The 19,252-nt window shown below is 54.8% G+C and overlaps 1 protein-coding gene and 1 long non-coding RNA gene across 22 annotated transcripts in view, besides 8 other annotated features; one reads left to right on the top strand and one right to left on the bottom strand.

The window, feature by feature from the left end:
- The window catches only part of SRC (SRC proto-oncogene, non-receptor tyrosine kinase), a 61,352-nt gene extending 50,933 nt beyond the window's left edge, over positions 1 to 10,419 (bottom strand). For 5 of the 21 annotated variants that reach the window (XM_047440405.1, XM_047440408.1, XM_047440397.1 and 2 more), the window contains exons 1-2: positions 10,231 to 10,419; positions 8,863 to 10,069 (exon numbers count right to left, since the gene is read on the bottom strand). The gene's annotated coding sequence lies outside the window, so the exon portion shown is untranslated. Of the gene's footprint in view, positions 1 to 257; positions 347 to 3,797; positions 3,907 to 4,047; positions 4,176 to 7,881; positions 8,001 to 8,862; positions 10,070 to 10,230 lie in introns of those variants that run through there. The other 16 variants (XM_047440407.1, XM_047440396.1, XM_047440402.1 and 13 more) reach the window with 7 other exon arrangements.
- Positions 7,969 to 8,469: an enhancer, noted in NCBI's record as "H3K4me1 hESC enhancer chr20:35975052-35975552 (GRCh37/hg19 assembly coordinates)". NCBI's record gives its function as "activates a minimal SCP1, AML or CMV promoter by ChIP-STARR-seq in primed H9 embryonic stem cells {active_cell/tissue: H9 hESC(primed)}" and the evidence as "EXISTENCE:reporter gene assay evidence [ECO:0000049][PMID:30033119]".
- Positions 7,969 to 8,489: a biological region, named in NCBI's record as "H3K4me1 hESC enhancer GRCh37_chr20:35975052-35975552".
- Positions 8,330 to 8,489: a silencer, noted in NCBI's record as "silent region_12890". NCBI's record gives its function as "represses an Ori minimal core promoter by ATAC-STARR-seq in GM12878 lymphoblastoid cells {active_cell/tissue: GM12878}" and the evidence as "EXISTENCE:reporter gene assay evidence [ECO:0000049][PMID:35858748]".
- Positions 9,040 to 9,339: a silencer, noted in NCBI's record as "silent region_12889". NCBI's record gives its function as "represses an Ori minimal core promoter by ATAC-STARR-seq in GM12878 lymphoblastoid cells {active_cell/tissue: GM12878}" and the evidence as "EXISTENCE:reporter gene assay evidence [ECO:0000049][PMID:35858748]".
- Positions 9,530 to 9,609: an enhancer, noted in NCBI's record as "active region_17837". NCBI's record gives its function as "activates an Ori minimal core promoter by ATAC-STARR-seq in GM12878 lymphoblastoid cells {active_cell/tissue: GM12878}" and the evidence as "EXISTENCE:reporter gene assay evidence [ECO:0000049][PMID:35858748]".
- LOC105372606 (uncharacterized) lies at positions 10,523 to 17,678 on the top strand. The gene is made up of 2 exons (XR_936699.2): positions 10,523 to 11,879; positions 17,185 to 17,678. It is a non-coding gene; the product is annotated as an uncharacterized LOC105372606 (long non-coding RNA).
- Positions 10,996 to 11,055: an enhancer, noted in NCBI's record as "active region_17836". NCBI's record gives its function as "activates an Ori minimal core promoter by ATAC-STARR-seq in GM12878 lymphoblastoid cells {active_cell/tissue: GM12878}" and the evidence as "EXISTENCE:reporter gene assay evidence [ECO:0000049][PMID:35858748]".
- Positions 14,450 to 14,982: an enhancer, noted in NCBI's record as "H3K4me1 hESC enhancer chr20:35968539-35969071 (GRCh37/hg19 assembly coordinates)". NCBI's record gives its function as "activates a minimal SCP1, AML or CMV promoter by ChIP-STARR-seq in naive H9 embryonic stem cells {active_cell/tissue: H9 hESC(naive)}" and the evidence as "EXISTENCE:reporter gene assay evidence [ECO:0000049][PMID:30033119]".
- Positions 18,299 to 18,798: an enhancer, noted in NCBI's record as "H3K4me1 hESC enhancer chr20:35964723-35965222 (GRCh37/hg19 assembly coordinates)". NCBI's record gives its function as "activates a minimal SCP1, AML or CMV promoter by ChIP-STARR-seq in naive H9 embryonic stem cells {active_cell/tissue: H9 hESC(naive)}" and the evidence as "EXISTENCE:reporter gene assay evidence [ECO:0000049][PMID:30033119]".

Here is a 19,252-nt window from a genome sequence, read left to right as displayed (position 1 = left end):
GCCAGTCCAAATCCCCACATTATGGGGTCCTCTCCCACTTCACCCACCTGGCTACAGGGTGCTCCCCAAACTGTGCCACCTCCAAGCCTGTGCTCACGTGTATCCTCTACCCAGGATGCTGCTCGCCCCTCCTGCCAGTCAGGATCCTACCCGTCCTCACAGCCGTACCCATTAACAGTGACACTTTCTATAAGCCTGGCATGGGGAGAATGAGCACATCAAGCCTTCCCAACAGCCCGGTGAGGAAGACTCCTTACCCCTTCTCATAGGTGGGAAAACCAAGGCTCAGAAAGAGAAGCCACCACCCGGGGCACGCGGCAGCAAAGGCAGGCAGACGCAGTGATGTGGCAGGATCTGGGTGCTGGCAACCACAGGGCACCCAGAAGGCCTGGTGGGGATTGGTGCAGTCTCCCAACCAGGCCCAGCCTTGAGGACTTGGCACAACTCAGGGACAAAGTCCACAAGGCACAGCCCTGGCCTCCCAGGCAGAATAAGAAGCCAGACCTCACCTCCCCGGCCCCTGCCCCTGCCCCTGCCTAGGGTGGCTTCTAAGAGACTGAGGAGACACACTGGCGGGATAAGATGGAACTGTCTCCCCAACGACATGCACAGAGCATGGCACAGATGAGAAAATTGAGTCCTGGAAGTCCGTCCCTGCAGCTGTTGAGTGCTGCCTCCAGGCCAGGCCTTGAACTAAATGCTTTATGGAGATGACCGTACCCAGTCCCCACCCCAGCCCCACCGGGTGCACACTTGTTACCCTCATTTCCCAGATAAAGAAACTGAGCCTCAGCGAGGGGAAGCAACTGACCCATAGTCCCAGGGCAAGCAGGTGGACAAGGAGGCTTCAACCCAAACTAAAGGCAAGAAATTAGGACCTTGATTGAGTCCCTTCTCAGGTTCTAGGCCTCAGTTTCCCCATCTGGAAAGCAGAATGCGCCCCAGGAGACTTCTGGCTGTGACATCACATTGTGACCTGGCGGATGCTATTTCCTTTCTCTCCATTTTCCCATCTGGATAACGGGGTGGTCTTTCCCTTCTTCCCCAGGTTAATACAAATTGCAATAAAATAACACGCACCGAGCACTTACTGTGTGCTGGCATTGCTGAGGGCGTTGGACACAAGACTTCATCCTTGCAACAAGCCCATGGAGTGGGTTCTACCACTAGGCTCATTTTTCAGATGGGGAAACTGAGGCACAGAGAGGTTAAACTGACTCACCAAAGCCACACAGCTAGTGGGTGACAGCAGTTGGGGGTAGAGGAGAAGTCTCCCTGTCTTCACGCTGCCCAGTGAGGAACTGTGGGGAGGGCTGGAGGGCTGATCAAGGGTCTGTGGAAGTAGAGAAGGGCTCAGCCCAGATGAGGCGGGGCAGGCCTGGCATGCCCAGGAAGCCCTGGGTTCAAATCCATGCACTGGATGACCTTGGGCAAGTCCCCTGGCTCCTGAGCTTCCTCTTTGGTGAAATGGGGCCGGGACCACTACCCCGCGAGGCTGCTGTGAGCATGAGACAACCATTTGCCTGGCACTGCAGAAGGGCTCAACTCCGTGCTGGAGGAATGAACGCTGGCTGAAGGGACCGCAAGGGCTCACGGTGGCTCATTGCTCCTTCAGGGTCCCGGGCGTGTCTGGTCCTCCCTTCAGAAGTGGGAGGAAAACTGGCCCAATCTGCCTCTTCTCTGATTTTTAGAAGGAACCCTCCAAGTCCCTTCAGGGCTGCGTGACCTCAGGCAAGTCACTTTACCTCTCTGAACCTCCAAATCCTCCTTTTGACAATAAGTCATGCTATTCACAGAGCTCTGGGAGAGGGGTCCCAGACTGAGGAGACGGGCTCAGTGGGGAAAGAGTCCAGTTCCATTTGCCCAAGCAGAGAGAGCACCTGGCATGACCCTGATTTGAGGTCACAGTTTCCTCATCTGCCACACAAAGTTTATTACGGTGGTTCTGTCTGTCTCAGCCCCGCTGGTGCTGGGGATGCACAGAGGTAACTGCGGAAAGTTCTTTGTAAACTGTAAAGGGCTGTGCCCTTGGGAATATGGTGATTACCATATTCCCTTAGAGGCAAAAAGAATCCTATGACTTGTCATCTAAGGCAGAATGTGTCAGAGCCATGAGGAAGGGCAAAGAAGGGACAAGGTGAAGTTCAATGGTGGATGTGGGGTCAGTACGGACTCATGGACTCAGTGGGACCGGCAGGGTGTTCACAAAGGCCTTCTGAAGCCAGAAGCATCTCAGCCACTGGAGGGGCACTGAGAGGGAGGGCACACCAGGCAGTGGGAGCTGCAGGGGCAAAGGTGTACGGCCCGATAACCCCGGTCAGGCAGGAAGATAGCTACGGCTCGAAAATATGGGAGATGATCGGGGCAGGGCACCTCTAGGGGCCCTTGCTGTGCAGCCCGAGCCCATCCCCGCCTCTCTCTGAGCTTCAGCTGCCTCCCAAAAAACAAGAGCAGGAACAGCTCTCACCTCTCAGGTCAAACGGGCAAGGATGCTCAAATAGAATCCACCTTTGAAGAGAGGGGCCCATTCAGTGAGGCGGAGGAGGGAGGCCAGGGTGAGGCATCGGGGCACTGGGAGGCTATGCTAGGTCACAGGCAGGCAAGGGCTAAGGCAGAAGCCAGGCTCAGGGAGGCTGGATGGAGCTGGTGGCTTCCAATCAATCCAGTCACCAAGCTTGTCTGTTTCTAGTTAATCTTCCCCCCACTCCCTTCCCCACAGAACAAGCCAACCACAGACAAAGGTGGCTGGTCACTGCCCTGGTGATTTCCGGATCAGTTGGCCTGCAGAGGCCCAGGATTCCTGCCTCATCAGGGAATCACCTTTCTAACAGGCACTCATAAATATCATGCACTTCCTGAGTGCAGGCCCTGCGCCCAAGCACTTGGCACACATTGGCTCATCGGATCTTCATGCCATCTTGTCAAAGCTGGTGCCAGCCTCGTCATCCCCATTTCACAGATGGGGAAACTGAGGTTCTAAGCTGTACAATCATACACAGCAAACAAGTGGCCAAGCCACGATTTGAACCCAGAACCAACTGGCTTCAAAGGCTTTGCTACTTCCATTACCCTTTATGGCATAAGCATCCGTGAGCACCCAAGATCCCAGTACTCCACGTCCGACTGGGGAATCCATCAGCCAGAGCTGGAACCCAGAGAGTCAGGGTCACCTGCCCCCAGCACCGCACCCCTCCTATACCTGGGAAAAGTTTTAGCCACGTTGGGTACACACTTAATAAGAATCAGATCCCCACAAATTACTCAGCAGCCAGAAGTCTGGGCTCACACCTCACTTTGCTGCACTCCTGTGGCCCCAGCTCTTAGCCTCTCTGAGCTTCAGTCTCCTCTTCTGTGTAACAGGAATAAGAGTTTGACTGCTCCCAGGATGGAGCAAGGGACACAATGGGTCACCTTATTATGACCCAGCTCAGAAGGGCATGACATGAAGATATCGACATCAGACAAGGTAAAAGTCAAGGCCATGAATTTGGGCAAAGCAGCCTAAGAGAAGCTAATCAGACCCCAACAGGGAGGCCATGCTTCCCCAGGCCACTCCAGCTCAATTTCCACTCCCAGCAACTGGATTCTGCCTGTGCCAGCCTCATAGCCCAGCAGGTCCAAGGGTTCAAAAGAACCCGTTCCTAAAGTTTCTCAGTGGGTCCACAAATATCACCACCCACCCACCACAGACATCCCCACCCCTACATGAGCACCAAAAAAGACTCCGCTGGGCCTGCCCCTGGAGCACTCCCCAGCTAGGATCACCATCACAGAGCCTCAGTGGGAGGAGTCCTCACCATACAGATGAGGAAACTGAGGACCAGACAGGAAGGGATTTGGCCAAGATCATTCAACTTCTCCTCCCTTCTGGCTTCTCCTTTTACTCTGGAACTTCTCTGGGTAGTTCTAAGGGAGAAGAAGGACCAAATGGACCAAAGTTGGGGGAAAGTCACTTGCCCAAGGACCCAGAGCAAGGAGTAGGGAGATGGAGGTCTGGCTCCCAGCTCTGAGATCCTCCCCGGTCATCTATCCCTGACTCAGCCTTACCAGGCTGTACTGTGGGAAGGAGGAGGCTGGCTGGCTGGGGAGAGTCCTGGATCGAAGACAAGAGCTCTGCATTTTTCTCCCAGCGTAGATGATTTGCCCTGGGTCTTTCTAGCCTCAATCCCCCCGATCTGTGAAAGGAGAAGGTCAGAATAGATCAAGAATGACAAACTCATGGCACACATACAATACTCTCTTATCCTGTGCCCATGGCAGACATGACTAATCTATCACAGCACTCTTTCCCATGAAGCCAACACTGAGCCTCAGAATGCTTCTCAACACAGCACTCTAGGCCAGGGGGATGAAAGCCCAGAAGCTTCCCTAAACTAGATAATATCTGAGTCCCCAACAGGGAGGAGAATGGGGAAAGAAAAATATAAAATTTTCTAAGCACCCAGTAGATTTGAGCCACGGGGAATACATTAGCTGATTTAATCCTCACAAGGGAGGTGTGCAGAGGCTGAGGTTTAGAGAGACTAAGTGACTTGGCTTTGGACAAACAGCAGGGAATGAGGCCTTGAACACAGGGGAGGCCTCTACTGGGTCTCCCTCCCCCAGGAACAGCGACACGGAGCCAGCCACCAGGTGGGGACCTAAGGTACAGCCTCATACCATCCTCTTGTTAGCCTTACCAGGTACAAGCCCTAGGCCCATTTCACAGCTTCAGAAACTGAATCACAGGACAGGGCATCAGCTGCCAGAGGAGGCAGGACTTGAGCAGGTGCCTGGCCCTCCCCCGCCTCCACTGATTGAGTCCCTAATGTGTGCTAAGCACTTTATTTCTGTCCTCTTGGGACATCCTGGGAACCATGACTCACTATCCTACTTCAGGCATGAAGAAACTGAGGCTCCCCAGAGGAAGTGGCCCCCAGGAGCTCAAGGGGAAGCCAGAGGGGTTTCCCACGGAGATAAGGGGTGGGGGCCATGGAGGGGAAGGAAAGGGTTGTGGGAATCCGAAGGGAGATAGAGATGTGGGGACACACACCGAGGCAGGAAATGAAGCTCCGGCAAAAGGCCCAGAGCAGGGAAGTGGTGGCCTTTTTCAGTGGCTCTGCTGGACTAGGAGTCCAGAGCCTACAGCCAAGGCCTGGCCCTGTCACTTGGCAACTGGGAGACCCTAGGCAAGTGGCTTTCCCTTCCTGGGTCTTAGTACTTACAACCGGAAAATGGGACCAATCACACCGAAGGCAGGCTTCGAAGAAGCGGGGCTGGGGCTAGACGCATGGCATTCTCCCCAGTTTAGCCTCTTCATACACAGAGAAGGCAAAGAGAGGGCAGGGCAGGACTCAAAGTCACCCTGCACATTGGCGGCCTTGGCTGCCAACATCCTCTCCCGAGCCAGCCCTGCCCCAACCGGCACCTTCAGACTCCATGAGATCACCCAGGCAAGGGCTTGACCACAGAGCTAGCAGGGCCAGACCCAGAGAGGCCGAGTGACCTGTCCAATGCAACAGCGCAAAGCAGGTCCCATTTGCCAAGTACCTACCGGTGCCAGACACTGGGCACACAGCCCTCCTTTAACCCTAATCCAACAAGGAGGTATCTGTTGTCCCCATTTTCATGACAAAGAAACTAAGTCTCTCAAAAGATACAGTAAATGATCCAAAGACACACAGCAAGTGGGACGGTCAGAACATAAACCCAGGCCTGTCTGACTCTTAAGCCCTTACCAAACCTTTGGTCCCCATCTCTCGGGCTGACCCCTCCCTGCTCCCTACCTCACTCCCAGCTTCCAGCCACCCAGCATTGCACTTCCCACACCCCCGGCTCTCATCCTCTCCAGCCTTGCTGCTAGTGAACTCCTACTCCACTTCCAAAGCCCAGCCTCAAATACCCGCTCCTCTTGAGACCTGATCTAGGCCTCCATAAAATTTTGGAGTCCAGCCTACAGATCTAGGTCTATCATCAGATCTATTTCTATTGGTCAGCTCTGTACCTCTGGCCTCCAGCTTGGGGCTGTTCACACAGGGGACACCGATCAGCCCCCTGTGTGACAATGAAGGCCAAACTCCTCCCCAGGGCCCACAAGGCCCCAGCATGGTCCAGCCCTGCTGATACACCCCCTCATTCTACCTCTTACCCACTCCCCTTCATTGTGCACGCTCCAGCCTCACAGCTTCCCCCACTGATTCTCCATGACAGCACGTCTTGGCACATACCTCAGGGCCTTTGCACATGCACTTCCTGCTGCCTGGCAAGCCCTTTCCCTAACTCCATGCCTGGTCAACCCCTACATGCCCTCTTCAAGATTCCTGTGTACCCTAGGCCTCTCTCCCTGAGTCCTTATCATATCTGTGATTATATAGTAACTCAACTGGCAACTTGTTTGCAACTTTGCTCACCCTCCAGATTCAAACTTCTGGGAGGCCAAGGACCTGTTCCCAGCTCCCCAGCAAGTATCCAACCAGGCTGACCACACCCCACCACCTCAGGGCCCCTGGGAAGGGAAAAAAGAGCTCCCTCTCCCCTTCTTTGCCAAGTGAACTCTTGCTCGTCCTCAGCTCAGGCCCTGCCACCTTCTAGAAGCCTCCATGACTCCCACAGCTCCCACTCCCTGCTAACCCCAGCACAATACTGCTCAGCCCGAGTTCCAAGTTCCTGGTACGCAGCAGGTGCTCAATACAGGGGTCACAAATGCTTATACATGGGGAGGTTTGAGAAAATGGGGTCAGCTGAGGACCACGGAGATGGGCAGAAGGTCCCTCAACAGGTCACTGAGCCATCTCCTCTCTGGTTCCTGGGGCTTGGGGGAGCCAGACATCCCTCCACCCCACCCCCCTGGTCACAATCAGAGAAGCAAAAGCAGGAACCAGGCTGAGCTGTGGATAAGTCATGCTCCAACAAGAGCTAGGGGACAGGGAGAGAGAGCCACGGGCCTTCCTCCTAGAAGAGAGGGGCCTAAGCTAAGCCTGGCGGGGCAAGGGCAGATAAGCAGCACCTGGAGGAGAGGGCACTCTGGGAGGGACACAGTTTAGGAGCAAAGGCCCAGGGGCACGCGGGAGGGCCTAGGCAGGCAGTCAGCTGAGAGAGGTGACACACTGTAAATCATTTCCTTGGGTGGAAAGACCACATCACCACATCACCAAAAAGGCCTCGTGGCTTTCATTCAATCCCTCAGCAGAGCAGTCTTTTCCGACACTGCTGTGTGTGCAGTCCTGTCTTGCGAACCTCCACTGCCCCATCACTGGAGGGATGCAGGGACAGCCAGACTGTGGTCTCTGAGGTCTGGGCTTTCATTCCAGCTTCCAACTATAGGGCCTTGGTCAAGTCACTTCCCCTCTCTTAGCCTCAGTTTCCCCATCAGCAAAATGAAGATAAACAAGAGTCTGTACCTCCTAAAAGGTGTTCAGTAGATGTTGGCAGCTGTCATTACCACTGGCCCAGTTTTATATGTGGCAAAACTGAGGCCAGAAGGGAAAAGTGAATTGCTTACGGTCACCCAGCTGCTGGCTGGCAGGACGGTGCCAGGGCTATTTCTTTCTCAAGGCACCAACCCATCCTCTTCTAGAATGAACTAGCCAGCAACCTCACATCTCACCCATCTTTCTCAGCCAATGTGTCCAGTGAACAATTCATTTATTGAGCATCTACTACACGCCAAGCCTCTACCTGCAGAAGCGCTTAGAATCTTCGCCTGAGGATTCTCATTTCACGTATAGGGACTTAGAGGGGCAGTCTCTTGGCCCAGGTCACTGGGTGAGACAAGAAGACTCGGTGCCTTGATCCCCCAGCCAGGGGGCTGAGAAGAGGGTCTGCAACAGGACCAGCCTGGCCCACCCTTGAAACCAAGTCTGATCCCAGCTGCACTGTGGCTGTGGCTGGGCCTGGACTTACCCCAGGTGACCCAGCAACCACTGCCCCAAATTGTACAGAGTCCATGAAGTTCAGGAGGTCTTGCCCAGGGGCACACACAGGCTCTGTCCACTCCTAAGTCCACCTGAAGGACGCAGGGGCTGAAAGGATACCACACAGGTGAGCCCCTTCTGTTCACCCCATCCTTCCACCAGCCTAGCAATTCCAGCCAGGCCCACCTGCCACCAATGAGGAACCCAGCTCAGAGAGGCAGGCAGTTGTCTGAGGACACACAGCAGGGCAAGTGGCAGCCCTGGTGGGGACTCAAACCCACCCCAATCCCAGCCCAGGCAGACAGGTGGACCTGGCCCGGTGGCCAACCCCCAAAACTTTTGCCAACTTCTGAGCCGGCTGGTAGCTGGGCCTGCTCAGGGGCGAGGCTGGGGGCTGTGGGCAGGGGAGACCAAACGCAGTCTGGCCCAGTCCCTTCCAGGCCGGCAGCACCAGGCCCTACCCGAGGCCCCACGAGGGCAGGGAGGTCCTGGCAGTTCGGCCTGGCGCCCTGACCCCGGGGCCCCTCAGCCCGCCCTGCCGATCCCCCCACCTCCCACCCGGGGCCGGGGGGCGCAGGGCCGGGCAGCCCAGGCAGAGGCGGCGCCGACTGGCTCAGATTTCAGATTTGGCCTAGACCTGGCCCGGGGGCTAGGGCCCAGCTCGCTGGCTTCTCTGGGGGATCCTATGGGGAGCATGAGCTGGAGGGGGTCCCCACGCAGCCAGGAACCCTGCGCCCCCCCCGCCCAGCCCCCTCCCCCCGCTGCATCACAACAAAAGGCCGCGCCGGGCATGGCCCCGTGCGCCCGCCCGGCGCTTGGGTATCGCGGCTTGGCCCGGAGGGGGGGTGGGAATTGGGGGGGTGGACAGGAGTCCCCGCCGGCCCGCGATCCGACGCCAGGGTGGTCCGGGGCGGGGGCTCCCCCGCGCTGGCCGGGGCGGGGGGTCCGCGGAGGGGCGGGGGGCGCTCACCTGGGCCGGCGGGCGGGCGGGCTCACCGGCAGACGGACGCACGGGAGGGCGGACCGCGGGACGTCCAGCGGGACGGGCAGACGGCGGCCTGGCCGCTCCGGCTCCCAGGCCGGAATGGATTCCGGGCCGGGAGAGACAGATCGAGAGAGAAAGGGAGGAGGAGGAGGAGGAGGCGGCGGCGGCCCGGGGAGGGGAAGAGGAGGGAGGGAGCGCGCGAGCTGGGAGGAGGGGCCCGGCAGGCAGCCGGGAGGAGGAGGAAGGAGGAAGCGCGCGGGGACGGATTCCCCGCCGGTGACCCGGGAGAGACCCAGGGGCGGCCCGAGCTGGGGGTCCGGGCGGGGTGGGGACACCGGGCACAGAAGCCCCGCCTCCCACTCCGCCAGGGCGCCGCACCCCGCGGGCCCCATCCGCCCCCAGGCCAAAATGCCCTCCCCAACCCACCCACCTTCTACGCCCCAGATCCGCCTCTCCCGAAATCACGATTGGTAATAATATCAGCGGGCGTGGAGCGCCCGCTCTGGGCCAGGCGCCATGCTAAGCTGCTCAGGTCGACTTCAGGGTTTAATCCTAACCACCACCTGGCCTGAGCGGCGGAAGATCGCCCCACTTTACAGATGGGGAAACTGAGGCACTGACAAGAACCAGGCCTTGGACTTTAGCCTTGACCTGAGTTTCTCAAAGTAGGGGCTGGGGCAGGAGGGACAGGGTGGGGAGGAGCGACATTTATTTTAATAGTTACGGGTTCATTTTAAGTGCATAAGGGCAAAACATCCCTGGCAGCCCATCGGAAGTCCCCTAGTTCTAATTATTACTGCTTAGGAGGGGCTGACCAGGGCATCTGAGTGGCAGTCACACTTCCAAGTAAGTAAAGAGGCTAAGTACCTCTGAACCAGGGCAGGAAATGTAGCAGAAAAACGGGACATTGAGGAAATGCTGCTTTAGGCCACAAAGACTCCCCTCTTACCCCCTGGCGCAGGCTCCAGGGCTATCCTTTTGGGGCTGGGCACCCCACCCTTGGCTCCTTACCTGTCCTGGAATCCTAGCACAGGGAAAGGTGGGCCTGGGTCCAGCTTTAAATATCACACCTGCCTCCATATTCCTTCTTTGAAAGTTCTCCCATTTCACAGATGGGAAATTAAGGCCCAGACAGGTCAGGCTTCTATTCCCTGGGCAAAGGTCCCTGCTGAGAGGAGCTGGGAGGAGCACCCTAGAATGTGGAAGGCAAAGGCCTCTGGGTACAACATACCTTCCAGGAGACCAGGAATGAGCAAAGCCTTACTCTACACTGATCTAGGTTCGCATCTAGGCTAGCTGCCCCTCTGCTGTGGGGTGGACAAGTCGATCAGCTTCCCAGCCCAGCCCCCTCACCTGTAAAACCGGAGTGAACATGGCCACAGAAGATTCCTGGGAAGGTTGGAACTGACCAGTGTGAGGATGGTCAGGTTGTGCTAGATGAATGGTAGCTCTTGCGGTGATAAACTGAGGCTAGAGGGGAAAGGGGCTGCTTGAGGTGCCACAGCCAGTCAACAGCAGAAGCCAGCCTGGGCTGGTGAAATGGCCGCACTTGTTTGCAAGGCTGGCTTAAAGATTAACCGCAGCTTCCCAGGGCTCAGGGCGGGCCCCCAGCTGGAGGAGCAGGTTTCTCAGCCCTCTTCCATTCCTTAGACATGTCTAAAGGCCTTTACTGGCCATACTGGGCTCGGGGGGGAGGCAGGGACATTTACCCAGTGACACGCTGGAGCTGGCCCTTACCTACTTGCAAGAACCAACTGTGCTCATCTCTTCCCAACTCCATATTCAAGAATGTCACACTGATAGCTCCATGTCAGCCACAGTGGGAGTATTTACCCCTTGGACATCGGAATACGCTACCAATCAAGCCTCTTTTTTCTTCCAGAGAGCTGGTTATTCAATATGTACGAGCACATCACTAAACTCATCCCCAGGAGTTCAACAGAAAATTCTGGGCTTTTCGAGAACTGGGATGACAGAGAGCTTAAAAGCACAGATTTTGGACCAGACCCAGGTTCAAGTCTCAACTCTGCCACTTTGCAGATAATGTAAGAAGCCTCAGTATGCCAACCTGCAGAGTGGGCTAAAGATATCACAGCCCCCAGAAGACGCATGTAAGGATGAAATGAGGTGATGCCCGCTCAGCACATGTGAAATCTCTTTCTCATTCATACCCTACATGCTCTTATCAGAGAGGAGGCAACTTAGACAAGTAAAGGTTCTGCAAGCACAGATGCAGCTTCCCACCTGAAGCCACTGCCGACTTCAAGGGCCTGGCTCAGCGGCTGAGGTTCTCAGGAGGATGTGGCCAGCACAATGGTTCCATTATTGAGCGTTTGAAGCACTCTTTATTTTTAACTACCCCTCTGGGCTTTTGCTAGGCTGTAACCCCTGCCAGGAAGGCTCAGCCCCTGTCCCTGGCTACCTCGCCTTGTTCTTCAAAGTCCAGAGTAAACGCCACCTTCTCCACAACATGCTTCCTGACACGCCCTGATGGAGGCACGTGCTAAGTCCGTTCTGAGTGTGTCTGTCCCCACCCTGAGGGCAGTGACCAAGGCCTGGCCCATGCCCAGCACGGAGCAGGCACTGCCCAGTTGGCCAGGCAGCACACACTGACTTGGGACCTACAGACAAGAGTTCAAGTTCCAGCTCTTCCCTTCAGTGACTATGTGAACCTGCCTTCTCTGGGCCTCAGTTTACTCATCAGTAAAACGAGGGTAACAACCCTGGCAAGTTCCAGGATTGTGCAGTTGGGAGTTGCTGGTCTGGCCTGGTAGATAAGTGACTCTTTGTGCAAATTATTTTGCTTAAAACATTCTTTGTTGGTAAAGCAGCAACTCATTGCTTAATTCCTGCAAATCATCGTTAATGGACAGCAAGCATTTATTGACTACCAACTGTATATATGGCCCCAGGCCAGTCTTAGAACACCAACAGGAACCACTTCCCAACCCAAAAGCACCCAGCAGATGATAGATGCTATTGACGTCAACATTGCTGAGATGGTGAGTGCTGGTTGTATAGTCCTCTGTCTCCAGAAACCTCCTCTTCCCTCCTTCCCTCAACCTGGGTGGGCCAAAGCCACAACTGAGGGCAGGGTGGAGGGGGTAGGGTGAGGCCTGGCCCTCCACGACTGGCAGTGAACCCACGAGCCAGAGTTGTCCCATGACATGGGATCAGAGGTGCTGCCCACAGCACACCTAGTGCCCTGGTGACCCTGGCTCAATGATGGCTGATCTGCTATGCCCAGCCCCAGCCCAGCTCACCCTTGCTGCAGCAGCCAGGAAACTGGACCCATCACAGGCCTCAGTGGGAAACTCCAGAACAGTTCTGCCATTCTCCACATGGTGTGCTGTGAGTGGTCTAGTTGAAGCCACCAGGCTCAGGGCTACAGGACAGGGTGGGTGGGGGATGGGCTCTAGCCTGAGTCTGTGGAATGGGCTTGGCACCTCCCCTGGCACTGCACTTCACAGTTTACACAGAGATGTCGTGCTGTGCAGGCCCTGGTCTCCTCCCCTCCTCTACCTGCCTCCTGCTGTCCCTCCACAAGCAGTCCCTGTCCTGAGGCCTTTGCACTTGCTGATCCCTCTGCCCAGAAGGTTCCCCACCCCCTAGTCCTTGGCTTGGCTTCACTCTTCCTTCCTCCTGCAGTGGTCATTTATTGAGCATCTACTATGTGCTAGGGTCTGTGCTACATGCTGGGATACAGCAGTGAAAAAACCAAGGCTGGTCTTTGGTCTCTAACTTAGAGGAGTCAGGGATGGGCAAGTACAGGGGCTGCAGGGCCCAGAGTGGGGCCCCCAACCCAGCATGTGTGTTGAGGAGAGAGTTGTCTATGGAGAGTTTAGAAGCCTGGGGAGATGGTTGCCAGGTGAAAATGGGACAGGGAGGCAGGGCATGGTGGGTCACGCCTATAATCCCAACACTTTGGGAGGCTGAAGCAGGAGGATCACTTGAGTCCAGGAGTTTGAGACCAGTCTGGGCAATATAGTGAGGCCCTGTCTCTACAAAAAAAAAAAAAAAAAACTAAAAATTAGCCAGATGTGGTGGTGTGCACCTGTGGTCCCAGGTACTGGGAAGGCTGAGCTGGGAAGATAACTTGAACCCAGGAGATCGAGGCTGCAGTGAGCCATGATCGTACCACTGCACTCTAGCCTGGGTGACAGAGCAAGACCCTGTCTCAAAAAACAAGATAATTATAATAACAAACAGGACAGGACAGGTGTGCAGGTAGAGGGACAGTGTGAGCAAAGACAGAGATGGGGAACGCCGCTGCGTCTGCAACTCCATGCAGAAGCAGGTGGTGTTTGCGAAGCACAGCATGGCGGTTGGGCTGGAGTCGGGGAAGTGAGGTGGGAAGGGTGGTAGGGGAACCTGAGGATCCCTGAGTGCCAGGCGTGGCTTCTGTCCTGGAGGTGGTGGGAGCCACGGAGGGTGGTGAGCAGAGCAGGGCCTGGGGAGACATGGAGTGGCGGTCACATTAGGGGACAGGGAGGGGGCAGTCAGGAGGCCTCTGTGCTGAGGAGCAGCGGGGACCCAGCTGATGCAGAAGGCCTGGCTCACACAGGAGTGTGTGCATGGGCATATATCCGTGTTCCAGGAAGTGAGGCCAAACTGGCCGAAGGTGGGAAACCCAAGACACTAGAGAAGCATCCCCAACCCCATGGGAGTCAGGAGCCAGGAGCAGATGAGCTTGTTCTCCCCCAGCGGCCAGCACCGGGAGGGGCGTCCAAAACATGGGTGTCAAAGGCAGAAAAGAAAAATCTGAAAAACTATCAGAGCAAAGAGGAGACATGATCCTGGGGCAGAAAAAAGACATTAGGGAAAGACTTAGGAAGTCTGACTAAAGCATGGACTTCAATTATAATAATGTATCAGACCAGGTGCAATGGCTCATGCCTTGTAATCCCAGCATCGAGGCTGAAGTGGGAGGATCACTTGAGTCTAGGAGTTCAAGATTAGCCTGGGTATACAGTGAGACCCCTGTCTCCACAAAAAACAACAACAAAAAATTAGCTAGGCGTGGTGTGCACCTGTATCCCAGCTACTTGGGAGGCTGAGGCAGGAGGATCGCTTGAGCCCAGGAGGTCAAGGCTGCAGTGAGCCGTGATGGTACCACTGCACTCCAGCCTGGCTAACAGAGTGAGACGCTGCCTCTGAAATTTTTTTAAATAATAATAATGTATCAATATTGTATTGATTCATTAATCATAACAAATGTGCCCCCGTCAGGGAAGAGATGGTGACAGCAGCACCTGAGCAGGTGGCGCCTGAGTGGTGACCTTCAAACGGCATTAACCACTGAGCACAGCCCCACACATTCAAACCCTCACAGCCGGACCTTCTGGGCTGTGTGGCCGGTTCACAGATGGGGAACCTCAGGCTCAAGTGTGTCTCTACCCAGCCCAGAATCTGGAGACAAAACACAGACGTCAAAGGCAGAAAAGACCTGCCCATGTGAAAATGGGGGAGACGCCTGGCCCCACTGGGCTCGCATGACGGCCAAGTACGCTCAACACCTCACTCCCCTCAGGCTGCAGAAGAGGCCCAGAGAAGGACAAGCATTCTCCCAAGGTCACACAGAGAGTTGCTGGCAGGCAGAGCCACCATCCCACCCCAGCCCAGGCCTCCTTCCGCCACATCCCAGAATGTTTGTGAGAAAAGATGAAAGGAGGCTGGGCCCTTGATCTGCCTGGCCTGATGGGAGGGCAGAGGGCAGCCGGAAATCTGCAGCTAGAGCTGTGACCCCACAGTCCACAGGGGGTGAGAAACCTGCCGCACAGAGAGGAGACGGTCACGACAGGAGGGCTGAAAGAATCATTGTAAAAATAATCACCATGGCTCACAGTCCTGGTGCAAGGAGTTTCCTGAGCAGGGAATCGCTTCCAGGGACTCTGGATGTAGCATCTAGTTCATTCTTCACAACGCAACAAGGTAGGAGCTAGCTATTGTTATCCCACCATACAGATGAGGAAACTGAGGCTCAGTGAGGTGACATGACGTGGTGAGGAAGGGCGGGACCTTGAATTCAAACCCAAACAAAATTCAAGCCTTCCTGGCTGGGTGCGGTGGCTCACGCCTGTAATCCCAGCACTTTGGGAGGCCGAGGCAGGTGGATCATCTGAGATCAGGAGATCGAGACCAGCCTGGCCAACATAGTGAAACCCCATCTCTACTAAAAATACAAAAACTAGCTGGGTGTGGTGGCAGGTGCCTGTAATCCCAGCTACTCGGGAGCCTGAGGCAGGAGAATTTCCTGAACCCGGGAGGCAGAGGTTGCAGTGAGCTGAGATTGCACCACTGCACTCCAGCCTGGGCAACAGAGCAAGACTCCCTCTCAAAAAAAAAAAAAAAAAAAAAAATTAAGCCTTCCTGAATCTGGAACTCAGGTGCTGCGGTTCTGTGCTACCCGGGTCTGTGAACCTCAAAGCTCGCATATTTCACATCCAAGAGCAAAAGGCCAGATCCACAGGGGCCGGGCAGGGAACCACTGCTGCCCCTCTGAGCACTGGCCTCCACCTCAATGGAATGCCTCCATCCTCCACATTTCCTAAGCATTGGGAAGATGCAATGTAGCAATGTTTTGTGGGAGTACTTTGAAAAGTAGATAGAAGAAAAAATATTCACACTATACTCCACCCTCAAGGAGAGGAACATTACTCCCCAGTCCCTAGATGTGGGCTGTGCTTGGTGGCTCCCTTCTAAAGAGTTCAGGGTGGAAAGAGGGGTGGGGGCGGTGCCTTTGCAGTGCAGGAACCTTACAAACGCTATCTCAGCCAGGTGATCAGGACAACATCAGCAGTGATCGGGCCTGCTGATAACATTTGCCCTTGATATGATGTGATTAGAATGGCATTTTACCTCTGTGGTCTTTCTCCTCAGAACCCGGAACCCCAGTCTAGCCATGAGAAAAGCCTCAGACAGATTCTAATAGTGGGGCATTCTACAGAACACCAGACTAGGCCAGGCACTGTGGCTCACATCTATAATCCCAGCACTTTGGGAGGCCAAGGCAGGAGGATCACTTGAGGCCAGGAGTTCAAGACCAACCTGGGTGACATGGTGTGACCCTATCTCTACCAAAAAACAAATTTTTTAATAAAATTAGCTGGGCATGGGGGCACATGCCTGTAGTCCCAGCTACTCAGGAGGCTGAGGTGGGAGAATCGCTTGAGCCTGGGAGGTGGAGGCTGCAGTGAGCTATGATTGTGTCACGGTACTCAAGCCTGGGTGACAGACTTAGACACTATCCAAAAAATAAAAAATAAAAGGCCAGGCAAGGTGGCTCATGCCTGTAATCCCAGCACTTTGGGAGACCAAGGCGGGCGGATCACAAGGTCAAGCGATCGAGACCATCCTAGCCAATATGGTGAAACGCCGTCTCTACTAAAAATACAAAAATTAGCTGGGCGTGGTGGCACATGCCTGTAGTCCCAGCTACTCGAGAGGCTGAGGCAGGAGAATTGCTTGAACCCGGGAGGTGGAGGTTGCAATGAGCTGAGATTACGCCACTGTACTCTGGCCTGGCAACAGAGCAAGACTCCATCTCAAAAAACAAACAAACAACAACAACAAAAAAAAAAAACACGAAAAACAAAAAACAGAACACCTAACTAGTATTCCTCAAAACTGTCAGGGTCATCAAAAAAAGAAAAGTCCGAGAAACTATCAAAGCCAAGAGGAGACATGATCCTGGGACAGAAAAAGGACATAGGTGCCAGGCGCAGTGGCTCATGCCTGGAATCCCAGCACTTTGGGAGGCCAAAGCAGGTGGAACACCTGAAATCAGGAGTTCGAGAACAGCCTGGCCAATACGGTGAAACCCCATCTCTGCTAAAAATACAAAAATTAGCCAGGCTTGGCGGTGCATGCCTGTAATCCCAGCTACCCAGGAGGCTAAGGCAGGAAAATAGCTGGAACCCAGGAGGTGGAGGTTGCAGTGAGCCGAGATCATGCCACTGCACTCCAGCCTAGGTGACAGATCGAGACACTGTCTCAAAAAAAAAAAAAAAAAAAAAAGGGGACATTAGGCATTAGGGAAAAACTAAGGAACTCCATAGCAAATATGGACTTTAGTTAATAATAATGTATCAATATTGGTTCGTTAATTGTAACATACTATACTATCATGGATATTAATAATCAGGGATTCCCTAGCAAGCCCACTTGAGAAAAAAAAAACTTAATATAACAATAATAATAAGGGAAATTGAGTGTGGGGTATGTGCCATGTTCTAGAGCAAAGGACTGAATTTTCGGACAGGGAGGAAGTTAAGACACTTGTCTGTAAACATTTCCTTCTAAACCCAGGGAAACTTAGGACCAGAGAATAGAAGTGACTTGCCCAAACTCAAACTGCAAGTTTATGACAGAGCCTGGACTAAGATCAAGCTTTCTCAATGTCACAAGAATTCAGTAACAGCCTACTGTATACAAGGCACCAGCCTAGGTCCTCATCATGGTGAAGGCTGGTGGGGAGGTTCAAAGATTTGTCCATGGGTCAACACCTCCCCAAGGCCAGGTCTCCAGGGACACAGACTCTGCCCTTTGAAGGCTCCAAGCCAGAAGAGGAAACAGACCCTGAAACACTATGAGCAGGAGGGCCAGAGAGCGACACACTTTGGTATCCAGGAGACCCAGCCCCACTGCCTGCAACCCTGCAACCTCCCTGTGCCCCACTGAGCTGCTCAGTAAAATGGAACTAAGGATGGTGCCAACTGTCAGTGATGCTGAGAGGTACAACAAGGAGGTGAAATGTGAGACCCTGTGCATTGTGGACACCCAATAAACAGTGATTCTTTTTATTTTTAAGTGTGTTCTGAGTGCTACAGGAGTTCGGGGGTGGGGAGCATTTGTCAGTTTGCCTTGATAGGGGATTCTCGGAGAGTTTACCAAACGAGGGACATTTAGATTGAGTCTCTGCTGGGTGCAATGGCTCACGCCTGTAATCCCAACATTTTGGGAGGGTGAGGCAGGAGGATCACTTGAGCCCAGGAGTTTGAGACCAGCCTGGGCAACACAGCGAGGCCCCGTATCTACAAAAATGATTAAAAATTAGCCAGGCATGGTAGGTGTGCCTGTACTCCAGCTACTCAGGAGGTTGAGGCAGGAGGATCACTTGAGCCCAGGAGTTTGAGGCTGCAGTGAGCCATGATTGTGCCACTACACTGCAGCCTGGGCAGCAAAGCAAGATCCCATCTCCAAAGTAAAAAAATAAAATAGATTGGGTCCTGAAGGATGGAAAGGACTTTGCCACACCGGAAGGATGTGAAAGCTGCGGTCCCAGCTTTCAGTTCTCACAGTCTGGTCCGAGAGAGAAGGGGACACGTCAAGCCACCCTCCCAGGGGATTCCCACGCAACAGGACCTCCCCATTTCCTGGCCTGGATGGCTCCTTTCTGGCCTGCCTGGCCTCTGAGATTCACCAGTGCCTGAGCCAAGGCCACAGACAGCAGGGGAGGGGCAGGGGTGGGGGCACGCACCAGGGCTGAACAAACCCAGGGCTCATCTGGAAAGGAAACCAAACCCTGCCTCCCACTCACCAGCTGAGTGTCACTTGTACAGCTTCCTCCTTCTGTTCCTGTTCAGGAATTACCCAGGCAGGGCTCTGTGGTGGGGCTGGGGGACGGGGGGCTGGTGGGGGAGTGGGGCTGCCCCAGAGGCGGAGCCTGGAGCCTCCTTGGTCTGCTCTGGCCACGCCCAGACTCATCCCCTCTGGCTGGCTGGCCTGCTCCCAGACCCATTTCTCTCCTCAGCAGGCCAGGTTTCCTCCCTCCTCCACACACCTGCCCACGCAGTACCACCATCTCCTCTCTGCTGGTCCAAGCCCCACTCCCCTTTGGCCCAACCCCGGCCCCTCCTGGAAGTCTTCCACAGAGATCCCTCCCAGTCTTGCCTTCCTTATCGTCTTTATCCATTCAGGCCTGCATGTCAGCTCCTGTGCTGGAGCTGGGGACAGACAAGTGAGCAGTGAGTGACCAAGACTGGCACCGTCCCTGCCCTTTGGACCTGGAGCCTCTAATCCCTATGTCTCGTGTGTCCCGCATGCTTCATCCACACCCCAGTGGGAAATCGGAAGCCAGGACTGCAGTCCTGTGCAGCCTCTGAACAGTGTGGCCTTGGGCAAGTCCCTTCCCCTCTCTGGTCGGAGTGGTTTCCATAGCTGCTAAGGGAAGCAGTGCGATGTCCAGGGGGCAGGCTGGAGGGATGGTGATGTCTGCTCCCCCAACCCTTCCTGCCCCAATGTAATGCCCTGCAAATAAAGTTTCCCTCCAAGTGGAACTGGTAAAATGCACACACGGGGCTCTGACTCATCAGAATTTTTTTGCAGAAACAAATATAGGGGTCAGTGGGAGGGACCTGCCGGGTGGCTGAACATC

This window comes from Homo sapiens, chromosome 20 (assembly GCF_000001405.40).
Source record: "Homo sapiens chromosome 20, GRCh38.p14 Primary Assembly".
NCBI lineage: Eukaryota > Metazoa > Chordata > Mammalia > Primates > Hominidae > Homo > Homo sapiens.
Note: the sequence above shows the minus strand (reverse complement) of the source record. Positions and strands in the feature narration are given on the sequence as shown.